The sequence below is a fragment of the Homo sapiens genome, chromosome 1 (genome assembly GCF_000001405.40).
Source record: "Homo sapiens chromosome 1, GRCh38.p14 Primary Assembly".
Lineage (NCBI taxonomy): Eukaryota > Metazoa > Chordata > Mammalia > Primates > Hominidae > Homo > Homo sapiens.
In genome coordinates, this window is record NC_000001.11 from 199,375,398 (window position 1) to 199,394,806 (window position 19,409).

The 19,409-nt window shown below is 34.6% G+C and overlaps 1 long non-coding RNA gene and 1 pseudogene across 1 annotated transcript in view; both read left to right on the forward strand.

Annotated features, from left to right (window-relative positions):
* Nucleotides 1–17,910, forward strand: part of LINC02789 (long intergenic non-protein coding RNA 2789) — a 244,710-nt gene extending 226,800 nt beyond the window's left edge. Inside the window, exon 4 of the long non-coding RNA NR_147896.1 lies at nucleotides 15,924–17,910. This is a non-coding gene — a long non-coding RNA (long intergenic non-protein coding RNA 2789). The remainder of the gene's footprint in view (nucleotides 1–15,923) is intronic.
* On the forward strand, nucleotides 11,744–13,072 carry EEF1A1P44 (eukaryotic translation elongation factor 1 alpha 1 pseudogene 44; annotated as a pseudogene).
* Nucleotides 17,911–19,409: the final 1,499 nt, after the last annotated feature.

Here is a 19,409-nt window from a genome sequence, read left to right on the forward strand (position 1 = left end):
AGTGGTTTTTTGAGATAGAATCTGCTTCTGAAGAAGAGGCTGTGAACATTGTTAAAATGACAACAAAAGATTTAGAATATTACATATACTGAGTTGATAAAGCAGCAGTAGGGTTTGAGAGGATTGACTCCAATTTTGAAAGAAGTTTTACTGAGGGCAAAATGCTGTCAAGCAGCAACACATGCTACAGAAAAATCTGGGGGAAGGAATAGTTAACTGATGCAGCACCCTTCATGGTTGTCTTATTTTTTAAAATTGCCACAGGCACTCCTACTTTCAGCAACTACCATTTTCATCAGTTAGCAGCCATCAACACCAAGGCAAGGCCCTCTACCAACAAAAAGATTATGAGTAGCTAAAGACTCAGATGATTGTTAGTATTTTTTTGCAATAAAATATTTTTAAATTAAGGCATGCATATTGTTTTAAGCATAATACTATTACACACTTAACAGGCTACGGTATAGTACGAACATAACTTTTATATGCACTGGGAAATCAAAAGATTTGTGTGAATTATTTCATTGCAATATTCGGTTTATTGTAGTGGTCTGGAACTGAACCTGCAATATCTCTAAGGTATGTCTGTACTATGTTCATGAATCAGAAGACACAGTATCATTAACATACCAATTCTTCCCAAAGTTATCTACAGATTCAATGTAAATTCAATCAAATTGCCAACAGGGTTTTTGTTTTGTAAATATCAGTGTGTTAATTCAAATATTTATATGAAAAGGCAAAGGAACAAGACTAGCCAAAACAATTTTGAAAAAGTAAAAGTTGGAGGACTCACACTACCTAATTTCAAGTTTGATTATAAAGCTGTGATAAAAACAGTATAGTACTGAAATTTTATAGATCAATGAAATATAGTTCAGAAATAGACCTACACAAATATGATAAATTGATTATCAACAAAGGTGCAAAGGCAAGTCAATGAAGAAAGGATAGTCTTTATCAACTAGATATTTACATGTAAACAACAATGGACCTCATTCCATACCTTCTACCATACACAAGTATCAGTTCAAAAGGGATCATAGCTCTAAACTGAAAATCAAAAACCATAAACTGGCTAGAAAAGAATATAGGGAAAAATATTTGAGACCTTCAGTTAGGCAAAGCTTTGTTAGATATTACACTAAAAGCACAAGCCATAAAGGAAAAAGCGGTAAGTTGGACTTTATCAAAATGCAAAACTTCTGTTCTTCAAAAGACACAATTAAGAAAACAAAAAGATAAGCCATAGGCTGATAGAAAATATTTGCAATTCATATATTTGATAATGGACTTGTACCCACAATATATAAATAACTCTAAACTCAATAATAAGAAAACAACATTTCAGTTTAAAAATAGGACAATGATTTGTATAGACAGTTCATAAAAAAAGATATATCAATGGAAAATAAGCCTATGAAAACATAATCAATCTCAATAGGTATTAGATAAGTGCAAATTGGACCCACAATGAGACACCATAACACATTTATTAGAATGGCCATATTAACAAACAAACAAACAAAAACTGGCAATACCGTGTGCTGGCAAAGATGTTTAGAGCAATTGGAACTCTTTTTACATTGCTGATAGGAATACACAATGGTACACCCACCTTAGAAAACTCTTTGTCAGTTTCTGATAAAATTAACATACACTTATTATATGATCCAATGATCCTACTCCTAAATATTTACGCTACAGAAATAACACATTCACACATTCTGCACATTAATGCTCATAACAGCATTAACTATTATCACCAAAAACTGGAAACGACCAAATTTTCTTCATGTAAAGAATGGATAAATAAATGTGCCTATTCATATCATGAAATACTACTTAGCAAAAAAGCATAAAAAATCTGCTAATACACATAACAATATGAATAAATCTCAAGTGCATCACGCTAAGTGAAAGAAGGCAGACTCAAAGGGTTTATACTGTATGATTCAATTTATATGACATTCTGGCATGGGAAAAATTATAGGGACATAAATCAGTTGCCAGAGACAAGTTGGGGGAGAGGATGACTAAGGACCATGGGGAGATTTTTGAGGTATGGGAACTATTCTATATTTTGATTTTGATTGCATTTACATGACTGTACTGTGGTTGTCAAAACCTACAAAACTATCTTCTAAAAGAATAAAGTATTATATTTTGATAAAATAAGACACAAAGAAAAAACCAGCTTCATTTTTCAAATAGAAATACAAAGTCATTTCTATGAAAATAAAAGTTCAATAAATCTAATAAAAAGGTCTACAGTATTATATACTCAACAGTATGGGAGATTATGTTATTACTCCAAAATATTAAGAGCTCCATTCTGAGGTGGACTATATACAGCAGATCTTCGTTATTTGCAGAGTTTGTGTTTGTGAATTTGTTCACTTGTGAAAATTTATTTTTAATCTCAAGATGATAGGGCATTTTCATGGTCATGTGTGAACACTTGCAGAGTGGCAAAAAACTGAGTGACCTGACATATACGTTCTCAGCTGAGGGGAAATAACGTGATGCTCTGTCTCTATGTTTCAGCCATCATACTGTACACAAGTGTGCTTTTCTTGGTCTACTTAGTGACACCTTTTTCACATTTTAATGCTTTTTATTGGTGATTTTTGCCTTTTAAATTGGCCCTCAAGCATAATGCTGAAGTGCTATCTATCTAGCGTTCCTAAATGCAAGAAGGTTGTGTGATGTGTCTTATGTTACAAACTATGTATACCCAATGTTAAGAGTAGCTCTAGTTATAAGTCAATTATTGAATAAACACATAATATGCACACTCTAATAAAGTTAATTGCTATAATCTTTCTACCTTTACAGCTAAATAACATTCTTTTAATATATGTTGAATTCCACCTTTTTTGAGATTACTGGGTATGGTTGTAGAAATAATATAAAGTTAATAAGTATTTTTATTTATACTTGATTGAATGCTTTTGAAAAATCAAATTTAATAATAATTAAAATTATCAAGGTGGGTTTTCAAAAAATTTCATTCTTACAACTGGCATATGAAGCAGACAGTATTATTATCCCAGTTTCAGAGACGAAACATCCAGATTCAGTGTGGTTACACTAACACCTTCAAGGTTAAAGAAGCTAGTGCCTGAGGGAACAGTTTTAAACTCTAGTGGGTCGGACTCCAAAGCTCTTGCTCTCAATCACTACAGGAGTGCAATATTGGCACAGTTTTTCTTGTCTTTTTCATTTTTTTGTAAATGACATTTTAAAACTAGTACAGAATTTCAAAGGTCCAACATCATATTCATTAGTTTGTATCACCTTGCCTTTACAGTCAACAAATTTAATTGGGGAAGAGGCATATATCAGAAAGATTTTTCTATAATTATTTCAGAAATTATCACATTGATCTTGTAGATTGCCCTATTCATGAGCATTCACGTGTTGTTTTTAGAAAAATAATTAAATGTCCCTTTCTTCATAAATAAAGCTTTATATAATGCATTTTGATGGAAGTGAAGGTAGTGAAAGAAACTATTTCCTGATGTGTAACCATCTAAATGTATGTGTTTTTCACTTTGCACTTCATTCTGTATTTGTGAATTTGCTCACTCAAATTTATGTGTAATCTCAGATACCTGTGGCACTTTCATAGTCACTTTCTGCAAAGGATGACTAGCACACTTGTTGGTCAAAGTTCCTGTTCATTGAATATATGCATCTTGTTGGCTCTGATTTAAAAAAAAATTAATCTATCAACCTAGAAAATACCTGATTTAGTGTCTTGCTACTGCCATAAAGTTTCCTCTGTTGTATGCTTCCCTCTCTAATACATGCCAGCCTGTTGAATTATGCAAAAACAAATACAAAAAAGGAAAACATTGTATCTACTTTTTGTTTTGAGTTTTATATGGTTATTTTTGAGAGATAATAAATACGGAAAATTCAATAGCAAATTTAACTGATTGGGAAAAGTCCATCTAACATATAAGTAACTAAAAATTATTACTCTGAGCTTATCCTTCCTTGGCCAATGTAAATCCAAATACATAAATTTAGTATTATTGGGGAAGGAAGAAGACCCTGACCTTGATTCTTTCTACATGTATGTCTAGTTATGAATTTCTGAATCCTCTTATTTGACTTTAAACCTAGATTTGTTGACAACTGTCAAGTGGGGAAGAGCTATTTTATATGAACCTATAAGAAGAAATAAGAATTAACTCATAGTATTTAGGAACAGAAGCATAATGCCCCAAAGGGAGCTTTTGGTTGCTGTCTTCCTTCATTTACCTACTACTTTCAGGTACAATATTTCCATCTTTCTTATCTATTCAGCCTATCTGTTGGTCACTGGAGTATCTTGCCAAATAAAGGAAAATAAAGGCATTGACTTTAAAAAAAAAAGTAGATATCAATAACCAAGAAGAAAGTGAACATTCCTTTTTTTTCTTGCAAATGCAGAAGACATATAACAGCTGTATTTCTAATGGCAGAAAAATTGACTCTTAGGTGGCAAGGCTGTGAATTGCTGCTGTACAATATCATTTAGACATCGGGTTTACAATCCATTTCCAAGGAAACATGCTATTTATCATTTCCCTCAATGTCATTAATCACTTTTCAAGATGCATTTCTATATCCCATCTTGTCCTCTCAAATTGATTTATCTTAAAGACCAATTAATGACTCTTCAAATCCACTTCAAAAACAAAATTATGTTCAGATAATGGTTCCTTTTTCTTGAAGAATATAAATTATAGTAATATATAGAAACTGAAATCTATAACAGAAGAGCAATGAACTTGTTTGGACCCTAAATGCATTTGGCTAATACTATGATATTCTGAACTGAGCATTCTATTGCAAAACAAAAGGGACTCAAATAGAAGCAACTCATTTGGGAATTATATTGTTTACATAATTCATATTTTTTCTTTTTTTTTCACATGAACAGTTGCCATTAAAGATGCATTAAAAGCTTGCCATTCCTTTGGAATAAGGTATGAAAAATGACATTAACCCTGGGAGCAAAGAACTCTTTGAATTTGTCATGACTTTTCTCTGCCCTTTCATGAAACTAAACGCAGGGTGATTTTTGGCCACTGACACGCTAGCCACTTTTGGAGTAAGACCAGTGAGTAAATTTGATTTTAAAACTGACCACGACTTTTCATTGACATTTATAGGCAGAGACAGATGTTAACTTGTAATAAATTTGAAAGCAGAATTTTATTTTCAGAGCCATGAACCAAATATGAACTTTCCAATGCCGCTTCCTCCATTCGCGCATAACTTTTCAGTATTTATTGTAGTTTGGTCTGGCAATCTACTAGAAATTTTTCCAAATCAAATTAGTTGAAATATTGCAATGCCATCTTTTAAAAATCTTTATTGAGATATAATTCAAAGGCCATACAATTTACCCATTGAAAATGTACAATTTAATGTTTTCTTAGTATATGCACAGAGTTGTGGAACCATTACCACAATCTAATTTAGAACATTTTTTATCACCCCCAGATGAAACTGCATACCCATTAGCAATCACTCTTATTCTATCCCCCATCCTTAGTTAATGGCTTCCTGTTTCTAGAGATTTGCCTATTCCAGACACTTTTATATAATGGAATCATAGATTGTGAACTTTAGTGATAGTATTTTTTTCTTTTTTAAGATGGAGTCTGGCTTTGTCGCCCAGGCTGGAGTGCAGTGGCACGATCTCGGCTCACGATAGTCTTATTTACTTAGCATGTCTTCAAGGTTCATAAATGTTGTAGCATAAATCAGTATTTCATTCCTTTTTGTGGCAAATAATATTTCATTTTATGGATATATCACATTTTATCTATCCATGCATAAATTGATAAGCATTTGCATTGTTACCACTTTTTGACAATTATGAATAATAGTACCGTAGATATTTATACACAAGATTTTATATAAATGTGTAAGTTTTTTAATTCTCTTGGTTTTATACCTAGAAGTGAAGTTGCTGAGTGTCATGGTAACTCTATGTTTAACATTTTAGAGATCAAACAATTTTGCAAAGCAGTTGCACAAGTTGACATCCCCACCAACAATATATAAGTGTTCCCATTTCTCCACATTCTCTCTAACACTAGTTATTGCCTACCTATGTAATTATAACTATCCTGGTGGGTATAAAGTGGCATTTGATTGTGGTTTTGACTTGCATTCCTTAATGACTAATGTTGTTGAACATCTTTTCAGATGTTTTTTTGCCAATTTGTATATCTTCTTTAGAGAAATACTTATTCATAGCCTTTGTGTACTTTTAAATGCGTATTTGTCTTTTTATTGTTGATTTGTAAGAATTCTAAATATATTCTGGATACAAATCTCTTATTAGATATGTAATTTACATTTTTTTCTCACTTTATAGGGTTTCCTTTTTACTTTCTTACAGTGTTTTTTGTGATGCAGAAGTTTTTAGTTTGACAAAAAACAATTTACCTGGGTTTTTTCCCCTTTGGTTGGTTGTACTTTCAGTGTTGTATCTAACAAGTCATTACTTAACTAAAAGTCATGAAGACTTACTTTATAAAATGTTTATAGTTTTAGCTGTAATGTTGGTCTGTGATTAATTTCAGTTAATGCTGTGTATGGTGTATAAAATGGGTTCATCTTCATTCTTTTGCATATGGATTTTCAGTAGTTCCAGCACAATTAACTGAAAAAAAAAATCTCTCCATTAAATAATTTGACATTTTTGTTTAAAATCAATTGACCATATAGATAAGGATTTATTTCTGGATTCAAAATTCTGTTCCATTGATTGATAAATCTATTGTTAGGCCAGTACCACTCTGACTTGATTATTTTAACTTTGTAGACTGTTTTGAAATCATGAAGTGTGATTCCTATAACTTTATTCTTTTTCCAATATTATTTTGGATATTCTGGGTCCCTTGAAATTTTATATGAATTTCAGAATTAGTTTTTACACTTAGGCAAAAAAGCTGAGATTTTTATAGAGATTGTGTTGAATCTGTAGACCATCATGGGGAGTAATATTGTCATGTTAACATATTAAGTCCTCTAATCTATAAATATGGAATATTTTTCTATTCCTTTAGATCTTATAATTTCTTCCAATAACGTTATATAGTTTTCTGAATATGTGTTTTACATTTCTTTAAACATATTCCTAAATATTTTATTATTTTTGATGCTATTGTAGATGCAATTGTTTTCTTAATATTATTTTCAGGTTGTTCATTGCCAGTGTGTAGAAACACAGTTGATTTTCATCTATTGGTCTTGTATCCTGCAACCTTGCTGAAATTGTTTACTGGTACTAATAGTTTTTTAGTGGAGTCCTTAAGACTTGCTATGTACAAGGTCCATGTTGCTGAAGTAGAAATAATTTATTTATTCCTTTCCAATTGAGTCTTTTACTACTACTGCTAGCCTAATTGCTCTGGCTAGAGCAATGGAAGTATATTGGATTTTGTTTAAAAAAATTACCTATTGACATGATCACGATTTCTGTCCTTTATTCTATTAATATTGCATGTTACATTCTTTTCATATGTTAATTCAACCTGAGATAAATTGCATTTGAGCATGGTGTGAATTTTTTTTTGCGTGTGTTGCTGGATTCAGTTTGTAAATATTTTGGAAGAGATTTTTGTGTCAATAATCATAAAAAATACTGGTACAGTATACCCTTTCCCTGAGTTGCCTTGTCTGATTATGGTATCAGGGCAATACTGACTGCATAGAATAAGGGCATAAGTGTTTCTTCCTTTTCCATTTTCAGAAGAGTTTGTAAAGGATTGGTATTAACTTTTAAATGTTTGATAAAAATTGCCAATGAAGTTACCTGGAATGGAAATGTTGTTTGCAGACATTTTAAAATTCCTAATTAAGTCCTTGCTTATTATAAGTCTGTTTAGATTTTCAATTTCTTATTGAGTCAGTTTTGAATGTAACTTTTTAGGAACATGGTAATTGTATCATAGATTTACTGGCATACAGTACTTCATAGTATTTCCTTATAGTCATACTTACTTCTGTAAAGACATTAGTAATGTCAACTATTCATTCCCGATTTAGCAATTTGAGTCTTCTGTCTTGTTAGCATGATCATAATGGCTAAATGTTTGTCAATTTTGTTGATTTTTTAAAAAAATCTCTTGGTTTTGTTCATTTTCTGTATTGTTTTTTCTCTATTTTATTTATTTCCACTATAATCTTTATTATTTTCTTTGTTCTGTTTCATTTGGATTTAGTTTGACCTTTTTTTTCTGGTTTCTCAAGGTGAAAGTTTAGGTAATCGATTTAAAGTTTTTCTTCTTTTTTAAATACAGGCATTTACACAACTAAATTTCACTCTAAGCATTGTTTTAGCTGTATATCACAAATTTTAGCATGTTGTGTTCTCATTTTTTTATCTCAAAGTATTTTCTAATTTACTTTGTAATGCCTTCTTTTACTCATTGGTTATTTAGGAGCACATTGTTTAATATCCACATATTTGTGAGTTTCCTGAAGTTCCTTTAATTGTTCTAACTTAATTCTATTTTGTCCAGAGAACATACTTCATATGATTTTAACACTGTTAAATTTGCTGACACATATTTCTTAGCCCAGTATGTTGTTTATTCTGGATAATGTTCCATGTATGCTTGACAATGTATACTCAGCAAATTAAAGTGTTCTGTAGATGTCCATTTGTTTTAACTGGTTTAAAGGGTTCTGCATTCTCATTGGTCTTCTAAATAGTCACATCATTGAAAGTAGGTTGTTAAAGCCTCCAATTATTATTGTTGCATTGCCCATTTCATGCCTTCAATTTTGTTAGTCTTGCTTAATGCATTTTTGGGTTCTGTTGTTAAATACATATATGTCTATAATTATTATCTTCTTGATGAATTGACCCTTTTAATGATAAAACATTCTTCTTTAGTAACTTTGTCTTTTTAAAAATTCTTTTTTTGGGGGCTGGGTGCAGTGACTCACACCTATAATTACAGCACTTTGGCTGAGCTGGGCAGATCACGAGGTCAGGAGTTCGAGACCAGCCTGACCAACATGGCAAAACCCCGTCTCTACTAAAAATAAAAAAATTAGCTGGGCATGGTGGCAGGTGCCTGTAATCCCAGCTACTCAGGAAGCTGAGGGAGGAGAATTGCTTGAACTCAGGAGGTAGAGGCTGCAGTGAGCCAAGATCATGCCACTGCACTCCAGCCTGGGGGTGACAAGAGCAAGACTCTGTCTCAAAAAAAAAAAAAAAAAATTCTTTTTTTCATAATATTAGTATAGTCACTCCAACTCTCTTAAGATTGCTATTTGCATGACACAAAATTTTTCATTCTTTAACTTTCAACCTATTTTTATCTTTGAATCTAAAGTGTGCTGTCAATAGACAGTGTGTAGTTGAATCTTGTTTTTTGCACAATCTAACAATTCCTGTCTTTGGTTAGATTGTTAAAAACATTTGCATCTAATGTTATTAATATGGTTTGACTTATGGCTGTCATTTTGCTTTTCATTTTCTATATGTCTCATGGTTCATTCTTCTCTTCCTCCTTGACTAAACTGTCCCTTCCAGGCAAAAACTGCTGCCTTAGACTGGGAGATGAGAGTGAAGTAAGCTTCCTTTTCTTGGCTGAATCCATTGAGAATAGGGCTTAAATCACACTGAGCTGGGGATCAGGCATGTCTTTAATATAACAGACTTCCATAGTTCTTACTCAGACTTAGTATTATAGATTTTCTTGAATAAATATTTCTCAATTTCCTCTATGTTCTTAGAACAGTTTCCAGTGACTAAATTTTTTTTTAACAATTTTCAACAGTTATAGTTCTTTCACTGGGGAGAGGGTTCACAGAGGTCATTACACACCCATCCCAGAAATGTTTCTGCCATACCATTTTATATGTATTCTGAGGAACTTGAGACAATGCGCATAAGTTCTTATCAGTGTCAGAGCAATACAAAGTATATCCAATATATGCTTCTCGGATTCCTCATCTCTGATTTTCAATTTCTCTTCTGACATGGAAAAATATAAAGAAAGAAAGGACATCTGGGCACTTCTTTTTTACTTTATACTTTCAATTGACGAGTTGGAAAAGACAGTGGAACTGAACAACCCAAACGCCTGCTAGAGATTTTCAGCTTTCCACAGCTCTCGCTAAAAGTGTTGCTATGGCCAGGCACAGTGGCTCACACCTATAATCCCAGCACTTCGGGAGGCTGAGGAAGTGGATCACTTTAGACCAGGAGTTTGAGACCAGCCTGGTCAATATAGCAAAACCTTGTCTCTACTAAAAATACAAAAATTAGTTGGGCATGGTGGCGCATGCCTGTAATCCCAGCTACTTGGGAGCCTGAGTCATAAGAATTGCTTGAACCTGACAGGCAGAGGTTGCAGTGACCTGAGATCACACCACGGCACTACAGCTTGGGTGACAGAGTGGGACTCTGTCTCAAAGAAAAATTAAAATAAATAAAGTGTTTATATGTAAGCATAAATCATATTCATAACAGCACTTCTGTTGGGTAGATTGATGGTACTTTTATACCTCCTGAATTAAAGTTCATATAAATGTGTGCTGGAAATGTCTAGACTGAAATATGATATCTGAACCTGTCAATGTCTGAGAGAAACCTTTTATATCAATCTGAATAGTTTAGATTTGATCTTTACCCCTAACTCTTGTAGAGTTCTTGAAAATGTACTACAAATAATGCCTATAGCGGCAAAAGGACCTTTACTCTAAGGTATATGTGTCACAGTTGCTAAAGAACAATATTAGAAGTACATAAAAAATTCTACCAGGAATATGAGCCACTTTTGCCTCTAATAAGGTACCTGTTAAGAATATAACTCATAATCTAATAAGAGACAAGTGGCAAATACAGTTAATGTAAATTTTTATTTTAAAAAAATGGTATTTCAAGTTTCAGCTCCAACATGTAAAGAGCTTTGAAGTTGTCACGTGGGTACTTAGAAGAAAAAATAACTGAACAAATTGGGGGGAAAATAATTTTCTTGAGGTTGCAGGGCAAACCAGCTTTCAGAAATCTGGAAAGATGGACAAATTCACAAAAACACAGCTGAATTCAGTTGATCTGGTACAGAAGCTGCTGGAAATATAAACTTGTAGAGACAGTTAAATAGTAATGTTGATGAATGGATGAGGGTTAAGTGTAGACTTCCTTCAGAGTGAAAGATGCCTTGGAGCTGCATTCTCAATACTTTCATGGAAATCCAGCAGGTTTGAAAAGCCAAGAAAGCTCACTTCTTATTTTTGGCAGGAAGAGGTGAAAGATACCATTTTGAAGTATGACCAATGTGTTCTCCAGATGAATAATAAAGGTCCATTGTCCAGTGAAAAATATTTCACCAGAGCTTTATCTCACATAGGCAGAAAAGCAACTTCAGCCCACCTCTAGCCTTCCTGTGTCATCCAAGGTGCCGGTGGGTGGTGGGGAGGGAGCGAAGGTGAAAAACTTAGGTCACAGACCAGGGACTTGTTATCAAAGAGGTTTCATGACTTACTTGCTCATGGTCACATGTCCAGTTGAAGTATAAAAGCATATTTAGTAGTTCCAAAATAGACCTTCTTGAGGCTTCTAATATAGAACTGAATTTAAAATAAAACAAAAATAGCTTTTCTTTTGCAACAGGTTTGCCACCAGAACACAGGTATTGTAAAAACCACCCCTAAAAGCCACAGTGGAAAGTGAATAAAATTTGTATCCACATGGTTGCCTTGGACCCCAGGTTCAGGCAAGTCCACCACTACCAGCCATCTGATCTATAAATGTAGTAGCATTGACAAAAGAACCACTGAAAATTTTGAGAATGAGGCTGCTGACATGGGAAAGGGCTCCTTCAAGTATTCCTGGGTCTTGAATAAACTGAAAGCTGAGCCTGAGTATGATGTCACCATTGATATTCCCCTCTGGAAATCTGAGACCATCAGATACGACTATCATTGATGCCCCAGAACACAGAGACTTTATCAAAAACATGATTACAGCCACATCTCAAGCTGGCTGTGCTGTCCTTATTGTTACTGCTCACATATACATCACAGTAGATGAATTTGAAGCTGGAATCTCCAAGAATGGGCAGAGCCATGAGCATGTCCTTCTGGCTTCCACACTGAGTGTGAAAGAACTAATTGTTGGTTAGCAAAATGGATTCTGCTGAGCCACTCTACAGCCAGAAGAAATACAAGGAAATTGTTAAGGAAGTTAGCACTTACAGTAATTGGTTACAAACCTGCCATAGTAGCATTTGTGCCAATTTCTGGTTGGAATAGAGACAACATGCCAGAGCCAAGTGCTCACATGCCTTGGTTCAATGGGTGGAAAGTCACCTGTAAAGATGGCAATGCAGTGGAACCACACTGCTAGAAGCTCTGGATTGCATCCATCCAAACCAATGCCTTCAACTGACAAGTTGCATCTGCCTTTCCAGGATGTCTACAAAATTGGTAGTATTGGTAATGTGCCTTTGGGCTGAGTGGAAACTGGTGTTCTCAAACCCAGCATGGTGTTCCCTTTGCTCTAGTCAATGTTACAACTGAAATAAAGTCTGTTGAAATGCACCATGAAGCTTTGAGTGAAGCTCTTCCTGGGGACAGCATGGGCTTCAATATCAAGAATGTGTCTGTCAAAGATGTTCGTTGTGGCAATGTTGTTGGTGACAGCAAAAATGACCCACCAATGGAAGCAGCTGGCTTCACTGCTCAAGTGATTATCCTGAACCATCCAGGCCAAATCCCTGTTGGCAGTGCCCCTGTACTGGATTGTCACACAGCTCACCTTACTTGCAAGTTTGCTGAACTGAAGGAAAAGATTGATTGCCATTCTGGTAAGAAGCTGGAAAATGGCCCTAAATTCTTGAAATCTGGTGATGCTGCCATTTGTTGATGAGGTTCCTGGCAAGCCACGCATGTTGAGGACTCCTCTGACTATCCTCCTCTGCGTCCTTTGGCTGTTCGTAATGCGAGATAGACAGCTGCCGTGGTGTCATCCAAGTAGCGGACAAGAAGGCTGCTAGGAGCTGGCAAGTTCACCAAGTCTCCCCAGAAAGCTCAGAAGGCTAAATGAATATTATCCCTAATACCTGCCAACCCAGTCTTAACAGTTGTGGAAGAAGAGCCTCAAAACTCTTTGTTTCAACTGGCCATTTAAAAGACTGGCTAATGATAATAATGCATCATAAAACCTTTAAAAGGAAAGGAGAATGTTTTGTGGGCCATTTTTTGTTTTTTTGTTTTTTTGCATGTGGCAGTTTTAACTTATTAGTTTTTTAAAAACAACTTGACCAAAAATCTGTCACAGAATTTGAGACCCATTAAAACAAAGTTTAATGAGAAAATAAATAAAAAAGAAGGTTTGTAAATAAAAATAAAATACTTCATCAAACCTAAGCCATAAAAATACATATTTTTCCCTGAGTCTTTGGGTCTTCACTTCTGAAAACCCCCATATCATGTAAAACTTCTGTTAAACAAATTTGTTATGCTTTTCTCTTGTTAATCTTTCTTGTATATGGGTGAGAGAAAGCTATTACTTTTTCTCTTCTGTAAGTTCAAAATATTTATTTTATATTGAGACATAGCAGCAAATATTTGTGGATCAGCACAAGTCTCTGGAACCAAGTCTTTTGGAAAGAGTGGTTGATTAAAGTATTTTTATTTGGCCAGTGCCAAAAAATAACTATAAAATAACTAATTTTCAAATATGTGCTATAAATTAGTTCTAAATAAATATAAATATTGAAAATAATTTAGGTTTCTAATTAGTCTTTCCAGACTGCATCAACCTAGAGAAGTTATATAAGTCACCATAAGCGAAACAAGCTGTTTTTACTGGTTCGGCTCTCATCTTCAGAATTGTTATCCGTAATGACACTTCTAGCTTCTGCTCCAGTCTCTCTGGAATACTTGGGAAAACTCAGAAGATGTCTCATATAGTGGCCTTCGAAGACATTATCAGGGTACTTACCATTCAGTATGCACCTATCTGACTCTGAGGATGGCTACAAGGATCTCAGGTCACTTTTTGCAGAGGCTCCAGGCCTGTACCCAGGGGAAATGACCCTCCAAAAGTGGTAGTTCTTGCTCCTTGCTTGAATTGCAGGGGATGAATAGAAGAAAATGGTCTAGATATTCTGAGTAATTTACATTATGATCACCTCAAGATTATCTTTCCATCTGTCCTTGGGTCAGGCTGCATTATTCTCTCTTAAAATAAAATTTTTCCCATGAAAAGATTAGTCCATCCTATAATAGAGCTAAAGAAACCTTCTAGATGTGACAAATTATAGCTATTCTTTCAGCTTTAGTTACATATTTGATCAGAAACCTCTTAATATACTAATACAGGTAAAACAGTAAAATTCAAGGTATTGGAATTTTTCTTTTTTTTAGAACACATGTACTTTTTTGATTTAACTTTTATTTTAAGTTCAGGGGTACATATGTAGGTTTGTTACGTAAGTAAACGTGCGTCATGGGGGTTTGTTTTACAGATTATTGTATCATCCAGCTATTAAGCCTAGTACTCATTAGTTAGTTTTCCTGATCCTCTCCCACCTCTCCACCTCCACCTTCCAATAGGCCCCAGTGTGTGTTGCTCCCCTCTGTGTGTCCATGTGTTACCCTTTAAGTCCCACTTGTAAGTGAGAACATGTGGTATTTGGTTTTCTGTTCCTGTGTTAGTTTGCTAAGGATAATGGCCTCCAGATTCATCCATGTTCCTGCAAAGAACATAATCTTGTTCTTTTTTATGGCTGCATAGTATTCCACAGTGTATACATACCACATTTTCTTTATCCAGTCTACCATTGACGGGCATTTAGGTTGATTGGCTATTAGAATTTTTCTATAGGTGCTATTATTTTCCTAATAGAAATATTTATATTTAACATGTACAAAAAAACCATATAAACAGAAAGTAAATAGGAAAGTCTGTTTTACTCTAGAAGTTTCTGACTTTCCAGCACATACTACCAAAATATATACCATTTTTTTTCCAGAGCAGTATAGCAACAACTCATTCAAGATTTTGAATATTGTCTTTACAAACCTTATTATACATCATAAATTAATCTCCTAAATAAAAAATTTCTCCATTACTATTTCATCCATTATCAACTGCTAAGCTCTCATCTCTTCAAGAACGACACATTCCTTCAGTCCTAGATCTACCTGTATCACTTACACTTCTTAAGGTATATTTATACTGTGACCTCAACCTCACTCTGCTTCCAGCTGCACAATGTTTTAATTTTTATTTCATGTCATCTCTGTTGGACATACATTTAAGACAACTAGTGGTATGAAAAAGCACTCAGGTTCTTCCTATCTGTGAAATTCTGTGTTCTAGGACCAAAGATAAATCACCTATGGGCAAGGAAAGCTTTTTATGTTGTTCTTCTTGGGCCTATTTAGCTTAAAGCATTTACTGAATCATATGCTACAGGGTTCAACTGTTTTCCAGAAGATCCAATAACTTGGAGATATAAAATAATAAAAATTAAAAAAAATAAGTAAAACAATTTGAAGCACTGTCTCAAAGTAAGGAAAAAAAGAACATAACTCACTGAGAATAATGGGCAGAGTAAGTTATATTAAACTTTCCTAAACAATTATGATGGTAGAATAGAGCATATTTTCATTTCAAAGCACTAATGTCTCAAACACATGTTTTATAAATAAACTTTTTAAAAATGTTTTATTTTGAAATATTATGGGAAATGAGTATTATTTTTGTCTCCTTTTCATTTTTGTCAGTAATTATTTGCTTCAGAATAGTTTCTTATTATTAAATGTTAAGGTTAGGCTAACTCCCTTTGTGCATGTGGAAATGTAGAGGCTTAACAGTATCTTATTTTCCAAAATTGTAAGTAATGAGACTTTCTTTCCCCTTGTTGTTATTAAAATTTCAGCTGTCACTTTAGCAGTACTACTCTTCGGATATGCAATCAACTGTTTGGAAAGAAGAGATAAAAGTCAAATTTTTACTATACTAAAACATAAGTCTCAAAAGATGGAGTGGACATACTTTACCCTATTCCTCTCATTAAGTACAGATCAAAACCTCAGACATTATATGTAAAAGAAACATAAGAAGACTCTGAAAGTGGAGACAAGACTGGCTAGGGACCGTGGGACCAAAGAATGACAGCAGTGTGTTTCCTGAGTTTCCCTTTTATCTCATATATCCTGGATTGGGTGCTAAAGAATCCAGCAACCCAGAAATATCATCGGCTGCAGCTAAGAGATTTTTCTCATGAAAAGCCTGCTCTCTCTAACCAAAAGAGGACGAAAAGGGCGCCTAGCAAGACAGAAAACTTTTAGATAATAACAGCACAACTCCAGTCAAACATTAATGGAAATGCATAACGCAGTCTCCCTCCCAACCCCATCAGCAAAGGCTAGACGGGAGCTTGGACTCCACCCTCATTAGATGGAAACATGGTACCCAAATTCCCCCACATGATAATATCAGAGAAGGTGGAGTAAGAAACCAAGACCTTCATTCCTGTCCCAAGGTAACTCCTGTCACACCTTCGTAGTGTCAGTGGAGACCATGCAGGCAATCAATCTACATGCTGACCTGGCTGTTACAAGACACCCAGTTCCCTCCTTGCCATGTTAGTGTCTGTATTAGTCAGGGTTCTCTAGAGGCACAGAACGAATAGGATGAATATATAAAAGAGAGTTTATTAAGGAGTATTAACTCACATGATCACAAGGTTCCACAATAGGCCATCTGCAAGCAAAGAGGCCAGTCTGAGTCCCAAAGCTGAAGAACTTGGATTCTGATGTTTGAGGACAGGAAGCATTCAACACAGGAGAAAGATGTAGGCTGGGAGGCTAAGCCAGTCTAGTCTCTCCACGTTCTTCTGCCCACTTTCTATTCTGGCCGCACTGGCAGCTGATTAGATGGCACCCACCCAGATTGACGGTGGGTCTGCCTCTCCCAGTACACTGCATCAAATACTAATCTCCTTTGGCAGCACCCTCACAGACACACCCAGGAACAATACTCTGCATCCTTCAATCCAATCAAGTTGACAGTATTAACCATCACAGTGTCCAAAGAGAATGAATAGGAAAAATAAAGGACATTTATGACCTCAAGCAATAATGAAGACTGCCTTGTCCTTCTGCCTAGTATCAGTAGAGGTCATGTGGTACAAAGTAACAAGGTACTTCTCCTCCTCCCAGATAGGATGATGCCATCATAGACCTAGTGAGAGCCTAAACTCCCATCCCTGCCGATCAGTAACAAAGTACAACTTCCCCTTTGTGTATCAGTGAAGGCCACACTTACCTGGCAGTAATGAGGTAGCACTTCTGCCAGTGTGGTATTAGAGGAGGCCTGCTGAAACAGAAGATTTAAATAAGATCTGGATTCTCATAGCCTAATACGCAATATGTCCAGAATACAGTAGAAATTTACTTATCATACCAAGAACCAGGACAATCAAGTTGAATGAGAAAAGACAATCACTGCTCAACTGAAACGAATCTCAGGGATATGCGAACCTGTAGCAAAGAATCAAACACCTGTGTCATTGGAGTCCCATGAGAAGATAAAGAAGGTGAGACTAAAACAGTACTTAAAACAATGTCTGCAAATTTACCAATTTTGGCAAAAGGTACAAATTACAGATATAAGAAGCTTAGTGTAAGCATAATAGAACTTGCGGCCCATTTCTTTGCTGTCAAACTTTTCATTATCTCCTCATTCATGCAAAGAAGGAGGAGGTGAAGAAGAAAAAGAAAAAGAAGGAGAGCACAGAAGTAGGAGGAGGAAAAGGAGATGAAGAATAAGAAGCAGCAACAGTTTAGTGTACCTTAAACAGGATGAACCCAACAAATTCCATGCCAAGACGCATCATATCATACCTATGAAAACTAAAGCATAAAAAAATTGAAAGCAGCAAGAAGAACTACATCCTACCTGTAGTTTGGATAATAGCAGATTTATCATAAAAATTATGGAGGCTGGAAGAAAGTGGTAAAGAAAAAAACAATCAACCTAGAATCCAATATTCAGTGAAAATATCCTTCAGAAATTAAGAAGAAAGCAAGGTAGTATTAGATAAAGAAAAACTAAGGGAATTTCTAGCCAGCAGTGCTATCCTTAAGGGAAAGGAAAGACTGAAGAAAGTTCTTAGAACAGAAAGAAAATGATTTAATAAAAAGGATCTTGAAATATCAGGGAGGAAAAACAGAGTAACATAAAGAGTAAAAATATATATGGCAATATAATAGGTTTTTTCTTATCTTCTTTAGCGTTCTCAATTACGTTTGAAGAAAAACTTTTAACACTATGTGAATTGGTTCTTTTTAAATTTTTAACCTTTCTAGGTACATAGTAGCTGTATATATTAATGGGGCACATGAGATATTTTGATACAGGCATGCAATGCAAAATAATCACATCAGAGTAAATGGAGTATCTATCATTTAAAGCATTTGTCATCTCCTTCTGTTACAAACAATCTAATTACACTCTTTTAATTATTGTAAAATTTACAATAAATTATTGTTGACTGTAACCACCCTGTTGTGCTATCAAATACTAGATCTTATTCATTCTAACTACATTTTTGTACCCATTAACCATCCCCATTTTCCCTCCTCCCCGCTACCCTTCCCAGCCTTTGGTAACCATTATTCTGCTCTCTATCTCCAGGAGTTCATTTTTTTTTTTTAATTTTTAGCTTCCATAAATGAGTGCAAAACGTTAAGTTTGTCTTTCCATGCCTGACTTGTTTCACTTAACATAATATCTTCCAGTTCCATCATTGTTGCTGCAAATGACAGGGTCTCATTAATTTTACAGCTGAATAATACGCCATTGTGTATATCTACCACATTTTCTTTATCCATCCATCTTTTATGGACACTTAGGTTGCTCCCATATCTTTACTATTGTGAATAGCGCTACAATAAACACGACAGTGCAGATATCTCTTCAATATGCTGAGTTCCTTTCTTTGGGATATATACCTAGCAGTGAGATTGCAGGATCATGAAGTGGTTTGTAATGTATGTAGAAGAAAAATTTAAGACAGTTTTACTACAATCAGGGGAAATGAAAAGGACTTAAAGAAATTTAAGATGACTATATTTGACTCAAACTGATAAAATGTCACACTAGATGGGAAAATTATATATATATAATATTTCTATTTTCATTTTATATATAATATTTCCATGTTCATTCAGATAATGTGTTTTTGAGTGTATCTCTTTTTTGTGTGATCTATTTTTAGTGACTATTCTGGGTATGTAATGTAATATACCCAGAATAGTCACTAAAAATAGATACACACAAAAAGAGATACACTCAAAAACATATTAGGTAAATCAACATAGAAGCCTAAAAATACTGTCCAAGTAGCCCACGGAAAGGT